The following is a 21,664-nucleotide window of genomic DNA, read 5'->3' as shown; positions in this document are numbered from 1 at the left end:
TTTGTTTTGTTTTGTTTTAACCTATACTACTATACTACCTCATTAGAGTTAATTTCCTTAAAGGACCAAACTGGCTCACAATCTCCACTTAAGTCCATACCACAGACAGTCCATGCTTATGAAAGACAGAAGAATAAAACAGTAATTGTGAATTAATAATAATAAATATGATATAGTACAATCATTCTTTTTGGTGGAAATTTCTGTTTTTATTAGTAATTGTCAAACATGTGTCATGAGTGTTTAAGATTTACTTCTGACTCCTGTGGTCTATTCAAGATTCATATATGCTGTATCTTCACCTTCATGTGAACATTTTTTTACCTGTGGCCTCATTTTATTTTTTTATAATAATCTGAATGTGGTTAACCAAAAACAAAATTTCATAGGTGGAATAGTTGGAGTGGTATAGGTCCTGAAGAATTCAAAACTTTTAAATTACATGTGGAGAGTATTTGGCAACAGATAACTTTCTCTAATTCTATTTCTTTAAGGTGATTCCTTTGAGTAAAATATAATACTTCTTTTTTTATTATTATTATACTTTAAGTTCTAGGGTACATGTGCGCAATGTGCAGGTTTATTACATATGTATACCTGTGCCATGTTGGTGTGCTGCACCCATTAACTCGTCATTTACATTAGGCGTATCTCCTAATGCTACCCCTCCCCACTTCCCCCACCCCATGACAGGCCCCGGTGTGTGATGTTCCCCACTCTGTGTCCAAGTGTTCTCATTGTTCAATTCCCACCTATGAATAAGAACATGTGGTGTTTGGTTTTCTGTCCTTCCAATAGTTCGCTGATAATGATGTTTTCCAGCTTCATCCATGTCCCTACAAAGGACATGAACATTTTCTTAATCCAGTCTATCATTGATGGACCTTTGGGTTGGTTCCAAGTCTTTGCTATTGTGAATAGTGCCACAATAAACATATGTGTGCATGTGTCTTTATAGCAGCATGATTTATAATCCTTTGGGTATATCCGCAGTAATGGGATGGCTGGGTCAAATGGTATTTCTTTTTCTAGATCCTTGAGGAATCTCCACACTGTCTTCCACAATGGTTGAACTAGTTTACTTAAAGCAATATATAATAGTATTGCTTTGATACATATATATTATAGAGGTGTTCGTATTGAGAATATCACATTTTGTTGGCATGCTATATTTTCTGACCACAGTGGTTCTATTATAGAAACCAAAAATAAAATTTTAAGCCCCCCAACTAACTGAATGGACCCCTCCTCTCAGCCAAGGGCATTCTAAAGTAAACTTGAAACGCTAGTTCAGGCCATGATGGGAATGGGTGGTCAAACATGCCTCATTATACCTTTCTCCCTTTGGAATTCAAGCACAACTGATCAGTATTAACATTAAAACAGAGAACTTAAGACTGAGAAAACAGACTCTTTTTAGCAATAAGACACCAGTGTGACAAGATAGCAGGCTCTGAAATAAAGTATTTTACAACAGAAATATATTTCTTTGACATGTTTTGAAATGTCCCTGCAAAGCTGTGTTTTGTGGAAAAAAATGTACATTCTATAGAGAATTTCTTTCCTTTTCCAGGTCTTTTTCCTGATCCAAGAGAGAATTAACTAAGGGTCTGGCACCTTTTTAAGTCTGATAAGAAACATTTATAAACTATTCTGTTTGAAAGCTGCTACCTGGAGGCTTCATCTGCATAATAAGAACCTTGGTCTCCACAACCCCTTATCTTAATCCAAACACTCCCTTCTATTGATTCGAGGTCTTTAGATAAACTCTATCAACAAATTGCCAATCAGAAAATCTTTGAATCCACATAGGCCCTGGAACCCCCTTCCTCCACGTTGAGTTGTCCCACCTCTCCTGACCAAACTAATGTACATCTTACATGTATTGCTTGATGTCTTCTATCTCCCTAAAATGTATAAAACCAAGCTGCAGCCTGAGCACTTTGGGCACATGTTCTCACGATCTCCTGGGGCTGTTTCATGGGCATGGCCACTCACATTTGGGTCAGAATAAATGCCTTCAAATATTTTACAGAGTTTGAATCTTTTCTTCTGCAGTTACAATTTAACTGTGGACCATTAGCACCTCAGCTAGCATGCATGGAGCACATATCAGTAGTTTACTTCCTGCTTACTCATAAATGTGGCCACTAGGATGATATGAAATTTCCAGGGATCTTCCAAATCTCTGAAGCGTTTTTCAACCACACTGAACATGTCCCTTCCTGTCTTATTATGTTCAGCTAATGTTTGGAACTACCCCACTGGTATTCATTAAAAGAAAGACTTTAGACAAAATAAATTTAATGAAGTTTATTTGAGCAAAGAGCAATTTATGAACCAGGGATCACTCAGAACCAGAAGAGGTTCAGAGAGCTCTGCTGCAGCAGCAGAGTTAGCAAATTTGTACAGGCTAAACAAGAAAGGAAGGCAAAGAAAATAAATGTTATTGGTTAGAGTGGAAAGTTTATAGAGGTAGGTTAGCAGTTTCTGATTAGAGAAGTCTCTAGTTTCATTTTACTGTTTATGTTAGATGTTCATTTGCTTATGCAGAAACTTAAAGCACTGGCATTGACTAAAGGTGTCCCAATTTAAGTTTTTCTTTACATATTCAAGTTCAATTTTTTTCTGCCAAAATAATGTTTTAATAATAATTCTGATAGAAACTTGCTGGATAATTCTCATAGTTCAAAGAGAAAAAGGGATATTCCAAGTGTTTCTGTCTGGCTAAGAAAAGTTTCAAGGATCTTGAGGTGGAAGCTTACATGAAATAGGCAGGGAGAATGACTATGTATAATCAATACAGGGTGATTTTCATTTTTATGAAAACTATACTTATAGCTATGTGCAACAAAGCTATTTGGGTAGAGAAGATTCAAACTGAAAAAAAGCTAGCTTTGTACTTTTGTGTATTACTGAACTTTATTATTGCTGATATGAGGTTTCTAGAAACAGCAAAAAGTAGCCAACTTTCACAGCAAATTCAGGTGATTCCAAAAATAGCTGCAATATTATAAGTACCCAACAATGGGCAGCATCTATTTTCCCCAAAATATCAGGATAGAAAATCCAAAATGTTATTCTGTTATTTAAAAGCCTTTGGCATTAACCAGAGATAAGGGAGGGGAAGCCATTTCTATTGATCTATGGATAAAAACAAAATAGTGTAGTATTGAGTTAGCAATATTGGTGAGATGATAACTTCTTACATCGGAGAAGAGAAAAATATCGAGTACCGTGGGTAGATAAAAAGTAGGTTAGATTAGCAAATTTAGAAAAGAGTGTTAGCATCAGTGTGACCTTTGTATAGGAACAAGGAGAATAGTAAAGGAAACGGAATTCTATCACATTTTACTTTCTTTAGAATGCATAAGTGAGGGAAAAAGAACACAGCTCTTGTATAAAAAAGAAATAGGGTTTTCAAACTAAACAGCACAATCACAGTTTGTTGGTGAATCAGTAACAAATTTCTCCCCCATCTTATAGGAATTATATTATAATGAGAAATATTACATGTAAATAAGGTAATTATGACTCAAGTGAAAACTGTGCCTAGCTAGTTTCACCTTAAAAGAAAGGCTATCTGGGAATAAAAGGCCTTTGAGATTTCTTTATGTCATGGCACATACAGAAAATGCATGTGTGGTATACATAGAAAATATTTTTGTCATGGTGCTATGGTTTCAATGTGTCCCCCCTCCAAAATTCAGGTGTTAAAAACTTAATTATCATTGCAGCAGTATTGGGGGGAGGGGCCTTTCAGGAAGTGGTCATGTCATGAGTGCTGCATCCTCATGAATAAATTAATGCCATTGCCTGTGATCCCAACACTTTGGGAGGCCAAGGTGGGTGGATCTATTGAGCTCAGGAGTTTGAGACCAGCCCAGGCAACATGGCAAAATTCTGTCTCTACAGAAAATACAAAAATTAGCCAGGTATGGTGGTGAGAGACAGGACTAGTTGGATTTCCTAGGCCGACTAAGAATCCCTAAGCCTAGCTGGGAAGGTGACCACATCAACCTTTAAACACGGGGCTTGCAAATTAGCTCACACCCAACCAATCAGAGAGCTCACTAAAATGCTAATTAGGCAAAAACAGGAGGTAAAGAAATAGCCAGTCATCTATTGCCTGAGAGCACAGCAGGAGGGACAGTGATTGGGATATAAACCCAGGCATTCGAGCCAGCAATGGCTACCCTCTTTGAGTCCCCTCTCGTTGTATGGGAGCTCTGTTTTCGTTCTATTAAATCTTGCAGCTGCACTCTCTTCTGGTCCATGTTTGTTACGGCTTGAGCTGAGTTTTCGCTCGCCGTCCACCACTGCTGTTTGCTGCTGTGGCAGACCTGCCACTGACTTCCATCCCTCTGGATCTGGCAGGGTGTCCACTGTGCTCCTGATCCAGTGAGGCGCCCATTGCCACTCCCAATCAGGCTAAAGGCTTGCCATTGGTCCTGCACGGCTAAGTGCCTGGGTTCGTCCTAATCAGGCTGAACACCAGTCACTGGATTCCATGGTTCTCTTCCGTGACTCACGGCTTCTAATAGAGCTATAACAGTCACCGCATGTCTCAAGATTCCATTCCTTGGAATCCATGAGGACAAGAACCCCAGGTCAGAGAACACGAGACTTGCCGCAATTTTGGAAGCGGCCCGCCACCATCTTGGGAGCTCTGGGAGCAAAGACCCTATGGTAACAGTGGGATAGTCTTAGCTAGTTGGGAGGCTGAGGTGGGAGGATGGCTTGAGCCCAGGAGGCAGAGGGTGCAGTAAGCCAAGATCATGCCACTGCACTCCAGACTGGGCAATAGAGCCCTGTCTCAAAATAATAATAATAATAATGACATTATAAAAAAGCTTACAGGAATGCATTCAGTCTCTTCTGCTTTTCTGCCATGTGAGGACAGAACAGTCATCCCCTTTTTGTCCTCCTACTTTCTGCCATGTGAAAGTGTAGCTAGAGGTCTTCATCAGATACCAATACCTAGATCTTGGACCTCCCAGCCTCCAGAGCTGTGTTAAAAAATTCCTAATTTTTATAAATTCCCCAATCTCAGGCATTCAGTTATAGCAGCACAAATAGGGTAAGAAACATGGCACACTGGCATAAATGGACAGGCTGGGCAATTGGCCCAGGCTCACTGGATCCCCAGGCCTTGCACAACCTTTTTGTGGCTTAAGGGGATCAATATCTCCTTAGGTACTGTATTAGTTCATTTTCATGCTGCTGATAAAGACATACTCGAGACTGGGAAGAAAAAGAGGTTTAATTGGGCTTATAGTTCCACATGGCTGAGGAGGCTTCAGAATCATGGTGGGAGGCAAAAGGCACTTCTTACATGGCGGCAGCAAGAGAAAATGAGAAGATGAAAAAGTGGAAACCCCTGATAAAACCATCAGACCTCATGAGACATATTCACTACCATGAGGACAGTATGGGGAAACTGCCCCCATCATTTAAATTATCTCCCACCAAGTCCCTCCCACAACACATGGAAATTATGGGAGTACAACTCAAGATGAGATTTGGGTGGGGACACAGAGCCAAACTATATCATTCCACCCCTGGTCCCTCCAAATCTTATGTCTTCACATTTCAAAACCAATCATGCCTTCCCAACAGTCTCCAAAAGTCTTAACTCATTTCAGCATTAACCCAAAAGGGCATAGTCCAAAGTCTCATCTGAGACAAGGCAAGTCCCTTCCACCTATGAGACTGTAAGATCAAAAGCAAGCTAGTCACTTCCTAGATACAGTAGAGGTACAGGTATTGGGTAAATATAGCAACTCTGAATGGGAGAAACTGGCCAAAACAAAGGGGTTACAGGGCCCATGCAAGTCTGAACTCCAGCAAGGCAGTCAAATTTTAAAGCTCCTAAATGATCTCGTTTGAGTCTAGATCTCACATCTAGGTCACGTTGATGCAAGAGGTGGGTTCTCTTGGTCTTGGGTAGCTCCCCCTGCTGTGGCTTTTCAGGATATAGCCTCCCTCCTGGCTGTTTTCATGGGCTGACATTGAGTGTTTGTGGCTTTTCCAGGCACATGGTGAAAGCTGTCAGTGGATCTACCATTCTAGGATCTGGAGTGTGATGGTTCTCTTCTCACGGCTCCACTAGCCGGTGCCCCAGTAGGGACTCTGGAGGCTCCCACTCCACATTTCCTTTCTGCACTGCCCCAGCAGAGGTTCTCCATGAGAGCCCCGCCCCTGCAGCAAACTTCTACCTGGACATTCAGGCATTTCTATACATCTTCTGAAACCTAGGCAGAAGTCCTGAAACCTCAGTTCTTGACTTTTGTGCACCCACAGGCTCAACACCATGTGGAAGCTGCCAAGTCTTGGGGCTTCTACCCTCTGAAGCCACAGCCCAAGCTCTAGGTTGGCCCCTTTCAGCCACAACTGGAGCAGCAAGGCATCAAGTCCTTAGGCTGCACACAGCTCAGGGACCCTGAGCCCAGCCCCCAAAACCACTTTTTCCTCCTAGACCTCCGGTCCTGTCATGGGAAATGCTTCCGTGAAGACCTCTGACATGCTCTGGAGACATTTTTCCCTTTGACTTCGAGGCTAACATTTGGCTCCTCATTACCTATGCAAATTTCTGCAGCCAGCTGTAATTTTGCCTCAGTAAATGGGATTTTATTTTCTATCACATTGTCAGGCTTCAAATTTTCTGAACTTTTATGCTCTGTTTCCATTTTAAAATGGAGTGCTTTTAACAGCACCCAAGTCACCTTTTAATGGTTTGCTGCTTAGAAATTTCTCCTGCCAGATACCTTAAAACATCTCTCTCAAGTTCAAAGTTTCACAAATCTCTAGGGCAGGGGCAAAATGCTGCCAGTCTCTTTGCTAAAATATAACAAGAACCATCTTTGCTCCAGTTCCCAACAAGCTCCTCATCTCCGTCTGAGACCACCTCAGCCTGGACATTATTGTTCTAATCACTATCATCATTTTTGTCAAAGCCCTTCAACAAGTCTCTAGGAGGTTCCAAACTTTCCCACATTTTCCTGTCTTCTTCCGAGCCCTCCACTCTGTTCCAACCTCTGCCGGTTACCTAGTTCCAAAGTCACTTCCATATTTTTGGTGATCTTTTCAGCAGCACCCCACTCTACTGGCACCAATTTACTGTATTAGTCTGTTTTCATGCTACTGATAAAGATATACTTGAGACTGGGAATGAAAAGAGGTTTGCTTGGACTTACAGTTCCACATGGTTGGGGAGACCTTAGAATCATGGTGGGAGGTGAAAGACACTTCTTACATGGTGGTGGCAAGAGAAAATGAGAAGATGACAAAGGGGAGACCCCTGATACAACCATCAGATCTCATGAGACTTAATCACTACAATGAGAACAGTATGGGGGAAACCACCTCCACTATTAAAATTATCTCCCACCAGGTCCCCCCAACAACACATGGGAATTATGGGAATACAATTCAAGATGAGATTTGGGTGGGGACACAGAACCAAACCATATCAGGTACCCAGAATGCCTTCACTGAAAATCAGTACACTCCAGCTCGTCTTCAGACAATGATTAAAACCAGTAAGGAAAGAACCTGTGTTTTTAGTAAAGGGGTCAAATTGGGCCTGTGTGCTCTTAAGTTTCTGGATAACACCTGTGGAATCTCTTACTGTTTTAGTTGCAAACAGCTTGAATAAATCAAATAATTGCACATTAATATTTCCTGACTAGTTCAAACTTGGCATTACCTTTGGAATGGGATTTTGGATTGAAGAACAGAAGTCATCTTTCTGTATTTTGGCTTGTTCTTGTAGACATTATAGCAACTTGTTTCTTGGATTGATTTCCCTACCCTATGCTGTCAGCCAAAAGATTAGAGGTGGCCTAGAGCTCCAGAGGAAAAATGTAGCAAAGATTCAAAATACAATAGCTAAATTCAAGTATTTACTTTCATAACTTCTAATATTTTTGTCCATATCATACTATCCATCCTTCTGAAAATGAGAAACTTATTAAAGCTTTGAGTTGAATTTTGAGTAAAAAGTTAATTATTACATTTGTAAATTACCTTTGCAATATAATAAAGCATAGGTAAAATATGCCTTAATTCAAGAATAAAAGATGTTAACACAGATCATAAAATGGTAATCTGTTGCCAAAGCTAACAATATACTACAGGAACCACAAACTCCTCTTTTGTTTCCTAAATGTCTTGAGATACTTTGCCCCAGCCTTAGCTCTCTGTCTGACAGTATCTCAGAATGCTTGCCACAGGATAGCTTTCTGTTTTCTTCTAAGCCTATACCAAAAGATCAGCCAATTGATAAGTAACAAAATCATTTCACCAGAAGTCTTAAATTATAATCAAATGAGGCAAAGGAGGTCCAATTTGTGACCAGCAACCAGTTTAGTCATTGTTTGTTAGAGCCAAAATACACTGGTACTTACTAGATGGAGACGTTACTAGGGTCCCTTGTTCTTAGAACTCCCAAGATGGTGGCAGGCCGCTTCCAAGATGGTGGCAAGCCTCTTGTTCTCTGAGCTGGGGTTGTTGGCCTCACGGATTCCAAGGAATGGAATCTTGGACCACGCGGTGGGTGTTACAGCTCTATTAGAAGCCATGGGTCATGGAAGAGAACTGTGGAACCCACAACTAGTGTTCTGCTTGATTATGACAAACCTGGGCACTTAGCCGTGCAGGAACAATGGCAAGCCTTTAGCCCGATTGGGAGTGGCAATGTGCGCCTCACTGGATCAGGAGTGCAGCAGACACCCTGCTGGATCCGGAGGGGTAGAAGTCAGCTGCGGGTCTGCGACGGCAGCAAACAGCAGTGGTGGACAGCAAGCGAAAGCTCAGCTCGAGCCCTAACAAACACGGACCAGAAAAGTGTGCAGTTCCAAGATTTAATAGAGTGAAAACACAGCTCCCATGCAATGGGAGGGGACCCAAAGGGGATTGCCATTGCCAGCTGGAATGCCTGGGTTTATATCCCGACCATTGTCCCTCCCTCTGTGCTCTCAGGTGATAGATGATTGGCTATTTCTTTACCTCCTGTTTTTGCCTAATTCGCATTTTAGTGATCTCTCTTTACTACCTGATTGGTCGGGTGTGAGCTAAGTTGCAAGCGCCATGTTTAAAGGTGGATGCGGTCACCTTCCCAGCTAGGCTTAGGGATTCTTATTCAGCCTAGGAAATCCAGCTAGTCCTGTCTCTCAGAGATGTGACAGCTTTTCCCTTTGATATTAAAAACCTAATCTGTAACTCAGACTCAGGATCTAGGACATTGGTAGGTTCACAGTATGAACCTATACAGTTTGAACATGGCAAGGATTGACATGCATGAATTGGGCTTTAGGCAGTTCATTTCCATCTTTGCATTGCTATCCAATAATATTTTTTGTGCTGTAATTGTTTTTCTCATTTTTATCCATTTTTACATTTTTCACCTTTTTAAATTTATCTTTTCCCTCTTTTTATTTACGACAGGGATCAGATTCAGTATATGCTGTCCCAAAACACTGGCATCTGAGAAAACAGCAGAAGCATTTTACTCTCACCTCTCCCACTTTTCCCCTGAAGTAGGTCAAAAGATCCTCATTGCGAAGTCCCCTCCTTATACCCAGAGAAAGGAAACATCCTTACCTTTGAAGGAACAGGGACACAGGAAAGAATCCTAGTAAGTCTTATTTTATTTATTGTCATTAGAGCATACCTTTTTATCCAATCATACTTCTCCACGACTATTCACTTTTTCATCAAACTTAGCATAAAAAACACACAGGTTTACCTGTTTATTTTGGTCTTCATTTCCTTGTGAAGGCTCCTATGTCACTTAAAACTAATATTAAACAAATGTTTATGTTTCTCTCTTGTTAAATTGCTTTATGTTATAAGGGCCACAGCGATGAATCTAGTGATGGGTAAAGAAAAGAAATCTTTTCTCCTCTACATAAGCAAATAAGCTAGTACTCACATATATGAAAGAAATCCCTTTTGTACTCTATAATTTATTTTCCTTGAGGAGTGGAAGCTATTATGAAATTACTGAGGCTTAGAAAGAACTGAATGAAAAATTAAGCATTTTCTGCATAAGCAATATGAGAAAGATATTTTCTTTATGATTTTGCCACTAATTCTTAAACACAAATCCAGCCTGATAATGTTTTCTTCCTCGTTAATATTAATTTACTTTGGGGAGCTACACTAGAAACACGGAGAAAATAAGTACACTCAGCCAACCTATATGTGCTTGCTTCAACTGTAAGTTAACAAACCAAAACCAAAAAATGAGTATCTGCATTGCCTGATGTACCAACATAGACTTAAAATGGCACATAAGACAACTGAAAGATGTACTATATATTAACAGAATCTCTCCAACAAGAAAAACAAAATACTCATTTTGTTTTGTGCTTAAAAGTCAGTCACAAGATGTCTATCTAGTGCTGTCTGAAAAATCTTTACTACAAAGGCAATGCAACTTCTCATAAACTCTCAGTGGTGCTGATAGAACCAGACATGCTGATGGATTATAACAACAGAACAAATCACGAAGTGAGCAGAACAATGGCTCTCTGTTGTTGAAAAAGAAAGGGAAGAAAAGCAAAGTAAGAGACAGGAAGGGAAAGGATGACAGGTAGTCTTGAATACAATGAATTGGTTACAAAAAGATACTTAAAACGTAATACATTGGATTGTCCAAATTGTGATCAATATTTTTATACTGTTAAAACTGATAATAACTTGTTTCTCTTGTTACACATTGTAGATATCATTAATAATCAGAATTATATTGTTTTAATATATCAGAATCGTATTAAGTTTATGGTGTTTTTCAAAATAAAGTATGTACAAATATATGCAGGGGGACTGTTGCAAGAAAAAAAAGTCAATACAAAAGATTAAAATTTTTTTGGTCTGATGTAAAAAGTAGTCCTAACTTATGTAATCACTGACTGGCTCAGTATGATTTGCTTCACAAAAGTGATAATTTAAAAAAATTTTAAATATTTTATATATAATGTTTTTCAGTTATCTATCTGCATGAGAACTACTCAATATTAGCTCTTCTGCCACCCCTCTTACACTGCAAACTTTAATAAAAGCAGTGTTCTAATGTCCTAATACTAGATCTTTTGATATTTTTTAAATAGTTTTATGCTTGGGCAAAATTCGTTGAAAACAAACAACATAAAATTTACTCTAAAATTTTTCTTGTCTTTTACAACAAGTACCACTGAGTGTCTGACATTTGAAAATTTTTCTGCTGCCCCTAAAATGTTGCTTAAATATGTCTCCTAAATGAGCAACATATTCTTTGCAGGTTTTTAAGAGAGCTCTCTATTCAGAAAGCACAAATATTAAAGTGTGAATTGAGAAAAGTAATGAAATCCAGTTACTTTGAGTCTAAGTACTCATATATGTTCAAATTCACCAAAGTTTTGCAGTTTCAAAACACAAGAATAAAATTATTTGTCGTGGGGAAATCTGTATTTGTTTTGGCTCTGCTCTACTATTTGGAATGTTGTTGATACCTCTGGGTTCTTTACTATTTATTCTTCCAAATGCATACTCCTAATACAATTTATTAATGCTAAAGAAATTTTGTAGCTTAATCATTTAATATTGTTACAAATAGTCAAGTACTAGCAGTGAGAATAAAAAATGCACCACAAATGTGAGTACCTTGTTGAAACATAATAACAGATATATCCACCAGCAATAAATGCATTAAATTGGGTAGTAGAGAAGTTTCTTATATCACAATCTGAAATATGTATGTCATAAATTCACAATTCTGTGTTTTGCATCATAGAAAACACACTTTTGAAAATTCAAAAGGGATATATCCAAAAGAAGCATTCTTTTGTTTTCTACTCTCTTGCCATGATATCCTGTAATGGCCAGCTTCATCCATGATTTCATGTGTCTGCAGCTATACCACAGTACAAGCCTGTAACATTTCCCTACAAGGAGTAATTATCTTTGATGTTAATCCCTGATGTGACAGCCTATTAAAAGTATTATTTTAATTACTAAATGTACTTTTAAAAATTACAACCTAATTTTTTCAGAAGATGTACCCAATTATGAGTCCATGGCTTGTATGCATTGTATTACTTAAGAATTGACCAGTGCCCTACTTATACCAAAACATCTTCTCCAGCATCCAACAGTGTCTGTACCACTCATGTTAAAATCAGCCTTATGTTATAAGACATAGGATCTCCAAAATGTCACTCAGTTGATAGAAGTTTCAATTTATTGACTGATTAATATCTAATTTATAATAAAGAGGACCTAGTGGAATTGGCTGCAGGTCAGGTAAGAATTTATTTGAAAGAAAATTATGACAAAATTTTGGGAAAATTGAGCTGTCCCAGAAGTGCAGGGTGCAGTGTCTAAGGCAATAGAATGAAAATATTGAGAGAACTAGGTAAAAGAAGATGGAGAAAAGTGAATTAATGAGGCTGGAAAAGAGAAATGCATTAAGTTTACTGAATACATAAAATGTAAGTTAACTTAGTAAATCTAAAAAGGAATGTTCGTGCTAACATGACTGTAACACAGAGGCACACTATATAGGAGAGAGACACACAGAAGAGTAGACTGTTTTATATTCTTTTGAATACTGACATGAGAGCAGTGGTGGGTTCTACTTGATCCCCAGTCCCCTCCTATTCTGCAACCAGTTTATCCAGCTTCTGATTTCACCAACCAAAATCAGCCCCCAAACTACTACCACATACTTGGCAGCAGCTTCCACAGACGGTGGTGATTTTCACAGATGCCTCCATGACCACCTTCTTCATGATCTCACTTTCATGAGCAGATGATCTTACCTTCTCAGACATTCCCACAAGCTGTTACTGATCACTTACCCACCCATATGAGTAATTTGGGCTAAGATGTTTGCTATTTCTCTGTTCCTTCAGCTTCTCACTTCTCCAGTTCCTCCCACATTTGTATCGCTTTAATTCCTATATTAAGCCTCTCATTTCCAATGCAGCTCGCAATAATTCTGTATTCTTAATTGAATACTGACAAAGACATTGATACCTGAGATGGAACAGTTTTTTAATTATTCATGTCTCACTGTATCCACTTATTTCACAGTATACTCCCACACTTAAACTTGACTCATTATGACTTGCTTTGGCCAATGCACAGAAGCAATTTTGATGGAAGCAGAGGATTGAAAAGGTCTTGAATATATCTGCTTTTTCTCATGAAGCCTTGCCACTGCTACGTTAACATGCAGGTTCTCCTGCAGAAGAATGTGGAAGAGAATGAATTTATGCAAGCCAAGGTTATCCCAGGCAAGTCAGAGCCCAACAAAGCCACCAGCTGACCACAGATGTATAAAGGATGAGATCAGCCAAGCCTCATCTAGATCATCAGAACAGCCAGCCAAAAAGCAGAACCATGAAAAATAACAAATGCTTGTTGCTTTAAGCCACTCATTTGGGGAGAAAGTTGGTATGCAGAAATAAATAACTGATACAGTAAAATAAGTAAAGTTAAAGGGAACACAGCTTCAAGTATAGGCATCTGGAAATGAAGAATGCATATAGAATTAAGGGCATTGGCAAATGCCTCATCTCAGTGGGTTGATTGCCTCATATTGTTGATTGGGACTTGGGGGAAAGATCATGGGTAAGGAAGTTTAAGGTAAAGGCATATGGATGAACTTACAAAAGTAAGCCTAAAGCATGACTATGAAAGTAAGCATAAAGTTGCATGTTGATGTCCATGAGTGAACAATCACCACATAAAAAGCCTAAAAAGAATAATTGATATAATGACATAGCCAAGTGATCTGAGCCACCTTCTGACATCAGTTGATATCAGCCAGCTTCTGATATTAACTACCCCATTGAGGACACACTGGGCTTATGAATAGACAATCTATGATGATGAAGATATAGCATATGCATGGGCCCTACAGCATGGACTCCTACTTGCCAAGGCTCTTCTAGCTACTGTTACTGCCCAATGTTCAACATGCCATCAATAGAGACTGAATCAGAGCCCCTAATAAAGTGCTGTCTAGGGTGACCAATAATCCCAGTATGTCTACACCTGAGGATTTTGCCAGGACAGAGGACATTCAGTGCTAAATCCAGTTCATTCTCAGGTAAATTATCCCTTACGAAAACCAAACAACCAATTGGTGGCAAGTTAACTACATTGTAACCCTACAATCCTGGAAAGAGCAGTGAGTGCTCTTAACTGGAATGTTCATAAATATTTGGTTAGGTTTTTCTTTCCTATCCACAGAGCCTCAATTAACTTGCAGAATATTTAAACAAATGTCACATCATCATGCACAACATCATCTCAAACTCAAAGAGCCATTCTGTAGCAAAGGAGGTGTGATGTTGGACGTGTGGACACAGGATACACTGGTCCAATCACATACTGCACCACTCAGAGGCTGCCAGCCTAAGGTAGCATTGAGACAGCATTTTGATTATACAGCTGAGGTGTTAAATTGGAGATGTGACTCTGCAAGGATGGGACACCAAACTCCAGATGTGGTTTTCACCCTAAATCAAGAGCCATTATATGGTGCCATGTCCACAATAAATGAAATACATACGTCTAGGACAAAGGATGGAGTTAGGAGTGACTTTGCTCATTGTCAATTCCATCAACCCACTGAAAGAATTCATGCTTCCTATTCTACAACATTAGATTCTAGAATTCTTCAGGTATTCTTCTAAGAGATAGCCTATCAATAGTGTCAATAAAATTTAAGCTACACATGTTTCTCAATGATTTTGAGCTCCTGATGCCAAGGAAAGTAGTCACCAGCCTGGCAGAGATTATTGATTCTGATCACCAAAAGGAAGTAATGAAGCTGAAAAAAAGTATGTTGGGCACCCAGATGATCCAACAGGGCATTTATTAATACATCTTTCCACAATTTTGACTATAACAAGTGCAACAAACCACCCCAAAATACCTAGAGTGTGCTGCCCCTCTGCACAGAAATTTCCTTCCCTCGCTTAGAAACCTAGTGAACTCATATTCATTTTAAATGTTTTCCTTGACACTCTTAGTAAAGGATCTCTTTCTCCACTACCCTGACACCTTTAAGCATTTATACTAAACATTAACACTGTCATTTTTTATTTGTATGTGCATTGCTCTTCTATAACGGTAAGCAATTTAAATTGAAAAATATGCATTATTCCCCTTTCAGTTCAGGATTTAGAATTGTTCTTGATAAATACATGATTATCAGCAAATACGTGTTAAAGGAATAAAAAGGAGGAAGGATTGTCACTTTTTCTCTGAAATATTTGCTTTACCCCCACCCTATTCTTTATCAAGCATGCAGAGCTCTATTGTTTTCTTTGTAAGGAAAAGAATCTCCTCTTCTGCTGAATTCTAAGCAATTGGCATGCAAGAGATTTTTTGCCTTTCATCTCCTATATTTAGGAGAGTGCATCACTCAGATTAAATGCTTAATACATATTGAATGAAGGAATAAAAATATTAAATTTCCTACTGTTACTGCCTTAAAGCAAAACTAAAAGCATAACATAGTAATATCAAAAAGACTTGTTAGAAAACCCATTCACACTTGACTTTTTAAAAATATCTGTCAAGATGATTATTTTAAAAGAATCTGAAAATCTTAGAAATACTAAGGAAAGGATGTATGTTTTAAGTCATTGAGAGTTGTGTTTCAACTTCAGTTTTGATGCTAGTCAGGTGAATTCTGGATTTCATTATACACTCTAAGCTTCTATTTCCTCATTTTTAAAACAAAGATAAACCTCTACTTCGCAAGAATTTTATGAAATTTAAATGAGAAAATGAATTTAAAAACAGGCTAATACACAGTAGACACTTGGTAAACAATAGCCACTATTATTTTTTCATTGTTTTTAATATCATCATCATCATTAATATAAACCTGCTTGGAGCTCACACACTACCATAGTTAATATTGCTGTTTTTAAAAGGATTCTCCTTAAATTTGGACAAGTGGAAGGTCATATGGATTGTGGTAATTTGTGATTTTTAAACAGGCAATTGAGAATTCTTTTCCCTCTTACAACAAACACATTTCCATCTTTCCAGTACTGTCAATGAAAAATATTTTTTTCCTTGAAATCTAAGTCCTTCACTGAATGTCCTATTAAGCTGTGTCGTGAGCCCGGCGCAGTGGCTCACGCCTATAATCCCAGCACTTTGGGAGGCCAATCGCGCCACTGCACTCCAGCCTGGGTGACAGAGCGAGACTCCATCTCAAAAAACAACAAAAGCTATGTAGTCAAAAGACTGACCCAGACCCATTTTGGAAGTATTCTTTCCCTATTTGTTTACGAAGAAGTAAAGATTCTTCTTCTTCTTTTTTTTTTTTTTTTTTTTTTTTACCATTTTAGAAAACACTAACATGTTATTGTCTCATGTGTTCATGTAAAGAGACCACCAAACAGGTTTTGTGTGAGCAACAAGGCTGTTTATTTCACCTGGGTGCAGGTGGGCTGAGTCCAAAAAGAGAGTCAGCGAGGGTGGTGGGATTACCATTAGTTCTTATAGGTTTTGGGATAGGCGGTGGAGTTAGGAGCAATGTTTTGTGGGCAGGGGGTGGATCTCAGGAAGTACATTCTCAAGGGTGGGGAGAATGCAAAGAACCTTCTTATGCGTGGGGGAGATTACAAAGAATCTTTTTAAGGGTCGGGGAGATTACAAAGTACATTGATCAGTTAGGGTGGAGCAGAAACAAATCACAATGGAGGAATGTCATCAGTTAAGGCGATTTTCACTTCTTTTGTGGATCTTCAGTTGCTTCAGGCCATCTGGATGTATACGTGCAGGTCACAGGACATATGATGGCTTAGCTGGGGCTCAGAGGCCTGACAATTACCATATATAACATACTCCTGCATTTTATCTCATAGATTTTCAGGGACAGAGTAAGCACCCATTGTCCATTTACTTACTTGTATTTATTTTAATCTAAAGGAATTCAGAACATATCATCCCCAAATATGCCATTTTGGCACATTAGTTATTTTGAGCTTAAAAAATTGAGAACCAGCCAACACAGTAAAAGTTCTTTACCTCCCCCTCAACTGCCTAAAATATAAATTTCCCCTTTGTAAAGGAAATGTACATCTATTTTAAATTTTTCATTAGTAAAAATATCAGTACCAGGAAAAAAATCTATTCTGAGATAACTTTATCACCTGAAAGACTTTTATCTTCATAACAATGCAATTTTTATTCATCATCTTCCTCCCTTCACCTTCCTGTAACTTGCCTTCACCACGTTCCAGAAGCACCAAACCACAGTTATTTTCTGTAGCTCAGGATGCTATATAAGCCTCAATTAACTGGCCTTTTCTCGTATGAACTTCTGTGCATATACACATAAAATTGCTTTTCTCCTGTTAATCTGTCTTATGTCAATTTAATTCCTAGACCAACGAACCATTTTTCACCCCTTTCAAAAAACCAACAAAAATATATAACTCTCATGAAAATAAATTAAAACCATCCAAATGAGAATATGCAAAGACTGTTTATTTAGAGCTTGCCATAAAGCAAGGGAGTCAGCCACCATCAATTGCTTTTGGCAAAGATTCAAAGTCCAGCAGGGGAGTGAGAAATCTTCAAAGTGAAATTGTAGGTTGTTGGCCTTGGGTAGCTGGAGGCAGGCTAACTAGAAGTGAAGGTACCTATTTGGCTCTCTATGGTTAATTCCGAACAGGAACCAGAAGCAAAATTAGGGAAGCTGTTATTTACTGATCAAGTCATGACCATTTTGCACAGTTTGTGGTTTGGCTTCCTGAACCAGTTGTTACAGAGTTTGCAGATTAGAATTTTATTTTTACATATGGTCTGGCCATTGTTGGTGTATATATTCAATTTCTCCCTCTTTTTCTCACATAGAAAGAGGACCCGCTCAGAATACTAGCATTTATTTGCATGCTGGTCCACACTTATAAAAATGAGTTTCAAAATATATTTATAAATTCAAATATATTTCTACACTAGAATTAAAGCATACTTTTTTCTTTCTTTCTTTCTTTCTTTTTTTTGAGACAGTCTCACTCTGTCACCCAGGCTGGAGTGCAGTGGCGCCATCTCGGCTCACTGCAACCTCCACCTCCCAGGTTCAAGCTATTCTCCTGCCTCTGCCTCCCAAGTAGCTGGGATTACAGGCACACACCTCCACGCCCAGCTAATATAAAAATACAAAAATTTTTTTGTATTTTTAGTAAAGACAAGGTTTCACCATGTTGGCCAAGCTGGTCTCAAACTCCTGACCTCAAGCCATCCACCCGCCTCAGCCTCCCAAAGTTCTGGGATTACAGGCATGAGCCACTCTGCCCGGCCTGAGTTAAAGCATACTTTAAAAAAAAATTGTGTATAGATTTCTATGTGAAATAGATATATTTGTATTGACTTAAGCTTTATGTTGTTGTTTGTTTTGGGAGGAGTCTCAATAATGCCCAAGAGGAGATCAGAGATCTTGAATTGGAGATATTTTAAGGACAATTTTGAAAACCAAGATGAAAATACTTTAAAGGTTACCATTGACAGAGTAGGAGCATCACCATCTTGGACAAGCCCCTCATTCTAAAGTTCACCTTAATCAAACACCCCCTAAATCCAAGAGGTATCAGCTAAGGTCAGCACAAAAATAAACCACAACTAACATCTCCAACCAGAAACATTCCAAATTCCTCCTCAGCCAGACACATGCTAGCCCAGAAATAACCCCTCTCTGGCAGGGAAGGTTTCAGCCTCAAGATAACCCCCTCCAGCCGGAAAGATGTCAGCCCCAAGATAACCTCCCCTCTACCCAGACACATTCCAACTCTGCCATAAGCTTCCCTCACACAGAAACATTCCAAGCTTGTGATAAGCCCCCTCACCCTAAAACCAATATACACTCTTAGTCTGTAAGAGAAGGTGCTCCTGACGGAAATCGACCAGAAGACCCTCTCAGGTTTATTTTCTCTAAAATAAATGTGTCTTTAACTAACTGTCAAGCTGAATTTCATGTTTTTTCTCTCTTTCTTTAACTCTTACAACCATAACTAGCAGAAACCTTGACAGTTTACTATCGGTGTTCCTTACACAATGATTACAACCCCCAAGAGAAGAGCAATCTTACTGTGAAATTGTTTTTTTTTTAAACTGGAAATAATTAAATCTGATATATAAAATAATTCATGAGCCATACAAGGTCTTCAAAAGCAATTTTGAATAAATATTGAATAAATATTTATTTTATTCAATAAAAGCAATTTTGAATAAATTATTTTTATCTTTAGGAAGGGTTCACAACAAATTCTAAAGTATGCATAAAAATAATTTCAAATAAAGACATGATTCTGCATTCTTACACTTGCTTTACTCTGGGTAAAACAAAAGTTTTGAATATAGCATCATGTTACCTTTAAGAAGTTGAAAAATAATCAACTTCTGAATACGAAATTATTAAAGAAAAGTTTATAGTACAATTTCTTGATTTAAAGAAGGATCTGCTTTAAGTACAAATGTTTAATGTAAGTTAAATAAATTGTCTTCTTCAAACCATTTTTTCATTATTTCCAATAAATATTTATTGAATACACAAAAGAAGACAAGACTGAGGATGAGAGCTCAAACAAGACCATCATACATAATATATTTTGCCTGAACTACATTTTATTTTTTTATTTTTTTCTTTCATCATTGAGATTTTATAGGTTGAGGACCAGTACAGACGTTTCAATTTGTACACAATTCTTAACATACGTACCGAAAATCTAAAAGGCCATGTATTGTAATTCTTTTTTAAAGTTGTTCCAGTGACTTTCCCTCTTAAAATTTGGAAGCAAACTTTCCTTAAAGGCTATCAAGTACCAGTGCCTTCACATGTTGATAAGCTGTTAAATACGTCCCACCAATTCACAACTGAATAGCATATACACGACATATTCAAATTTTTAATCTTTCACAGCACAGTAACAAAGTTATTAGGAAATCAGGACTACCACAACCAAAGATGTTACAGAGTGCACACATTTCTCACAGGGAGAGCCATGATCAAGGAGTAGTTTTCTTTGGGAAATAATTCTACTACAAAACATAGGAATAGAAGTAATTTAAAATATTCAAGACATTAAATGCAGGACATACTCTATATTGCCATTTAACCTGCTCTGTATTATAGGATATAAAAACCAACCTCCCCAGCTATGGAATGTTAAGCTGACACTCAAGACAGCCAAAGCCTCCCATAATTCAATATCCCACAGTATTTTCTGGTTGTACCAAAAAATAAACAACCAGCGAATAATTTCACCTCTTAAAAAAAAAACATTTACACTTAAATAATGGGATGAGGTGTGATTCCCTCCTTCTTAAAAATGTTCCTAGAGCTACTAAAAAACTTGCATTTACAGAATAGTTGATAAAAAATATTCCTCTGGATTGTACAAGAAGGGAGACAGGTACAGCTGATAAGACATGGTATATGATATTAATCAGACTTGGCTTCTTTCTCTCCTGCTTTATCAGAGGCTGGACTCTCCTCAGTTTTCGTTTCCCCGTTTTCTGCAGGTAAATCTTCAGTTTCTTGGTTAGCCACTTAGGCCTGTTTTCCCTTTGCTCCCCTTTTCCCTTTTGTTTGCACCTTTTTGTCTGAAGATATATCTTTCCCTGCTGCCCTTTTCAGCTTCTTTTCCACTTTTTCAGGAGCAGGTTTAGCTAACAACCGCTCCGATCTCCTCTTGGGCTCTTCCTTGGCGGCCCCTTTGTCAGAGCTGACCTTCCTCTTGGGCATCCTGGCAGCGGGGAGGGCATGTGCCAGGATCCTGCGGACGGGGGCGCACCTAGAGCCTTCGCGAAGCTGGGCTGCAGTTCCTCCCGCCGCCCGAGCTGCTGAGACCCACTGCCTTAACTACATTTTGAAAACTTGAACCAACATTTCAAAATCAGGACATTTCATATACAAGTCTGGATGTCAGTCTTCCCTTGAACAACCAGGGCCTGCATTTGCGTAGATCAGCTCAACAAAGGAGGCAGAGAAGGGTATGTGATGTTCACCACAGCTCTGACAACTCCCCAGTGAGACTCTGCCTCTCTCAATTGTCCTGCCACCGTTTTTATCTCCAAATAAATACGTTTTATACCTTCATGTCTATAAAGAATTGAAAAGCAAAAGATAGACCAATAAAGTATCACATTTTAAGAAAAAGGGAAAAATATATTTTCCCTTTTAAATTTCAACTACCTTCTTTAATTTAAATTAAATATCCAAAGACTTTCTGTAATAAAGAAGATAAAATCCAGCCCACTTCAACTGCTTATAAAGGTTGAGTATTAGGCCGTGGTTCACACATATAATCTCAATGCTTTGGGATGCTGAAGCTCCAGAGGATCACTTAAGCGTAGGACTTCAAGACCAGCCTGGGCAACAAAGCAAGACCCAATAAATAAATAAATAAATAAGTAAGTAAATAAACAAATAAAGTTAGCAAAGCAAGACCCAATAAATAAATAAGTAATAAATAAATAAATAAATAAATAAAGTTAGCCAGGCATGGTGGCATGCACCTGTGGTCCCAGCCACTCCAGGGGCTGAGGTGGGGGATCGTTTGAGCCTGGGAGGTCAAGGCTGCAGTGAGCTGTGATCTAGCCACTGCACTCTAGCCTGGGTAACAGAGTGAGACCCCCTCTCAAAAAA

At 38.6% G+C, this 21,664-nt stretch overlaps 1 pseudogene, besides 1 other annotated feature; it reads right to left on the bottom strand.

The window, feature by feature from the left end:
- Positions 15,126-15,627: an enhancer, noted in NCBI's record as "NANOG hESC enhancer chr4:63381321-63381822 (GRCh37/hg19 assembly coordinates)". NCBI's record gives its function as "activates a minimal SCP1, AML or CMV promoter by ChIP-STARR-seq in primed H9 embryonic stem cells {active_cell/tissue: H9 hESC(primed)}" and the evidence as "EXISTENCE:reporter gene assay evidence [ECO:0000049][PMID:30033119]".
- Positions 19,661-20,873, bottom strand: HMGN1P11 (high mobility group nucleosome binding domain 1 pseudogene 11; annotated as a pseudogene).

The sequence above is a fragment of the Homo sapiens genome, chromosome 4 (assembly GCF_000001405.40).
Source record: "Homo sapiens chromosome 4, GRCh38.p14 Primary Assembly".
Classification (NCBI taxonomy): Eukaryota; Metazoa; Chordata; class Mammalia; order Primates; family Hominidae; genus Homo; species Homo sapiens.
Note: the sequence above shows the minus strand (reverse complement) of the source record. Positions and strands in the feature narration are given on the sequence as shown.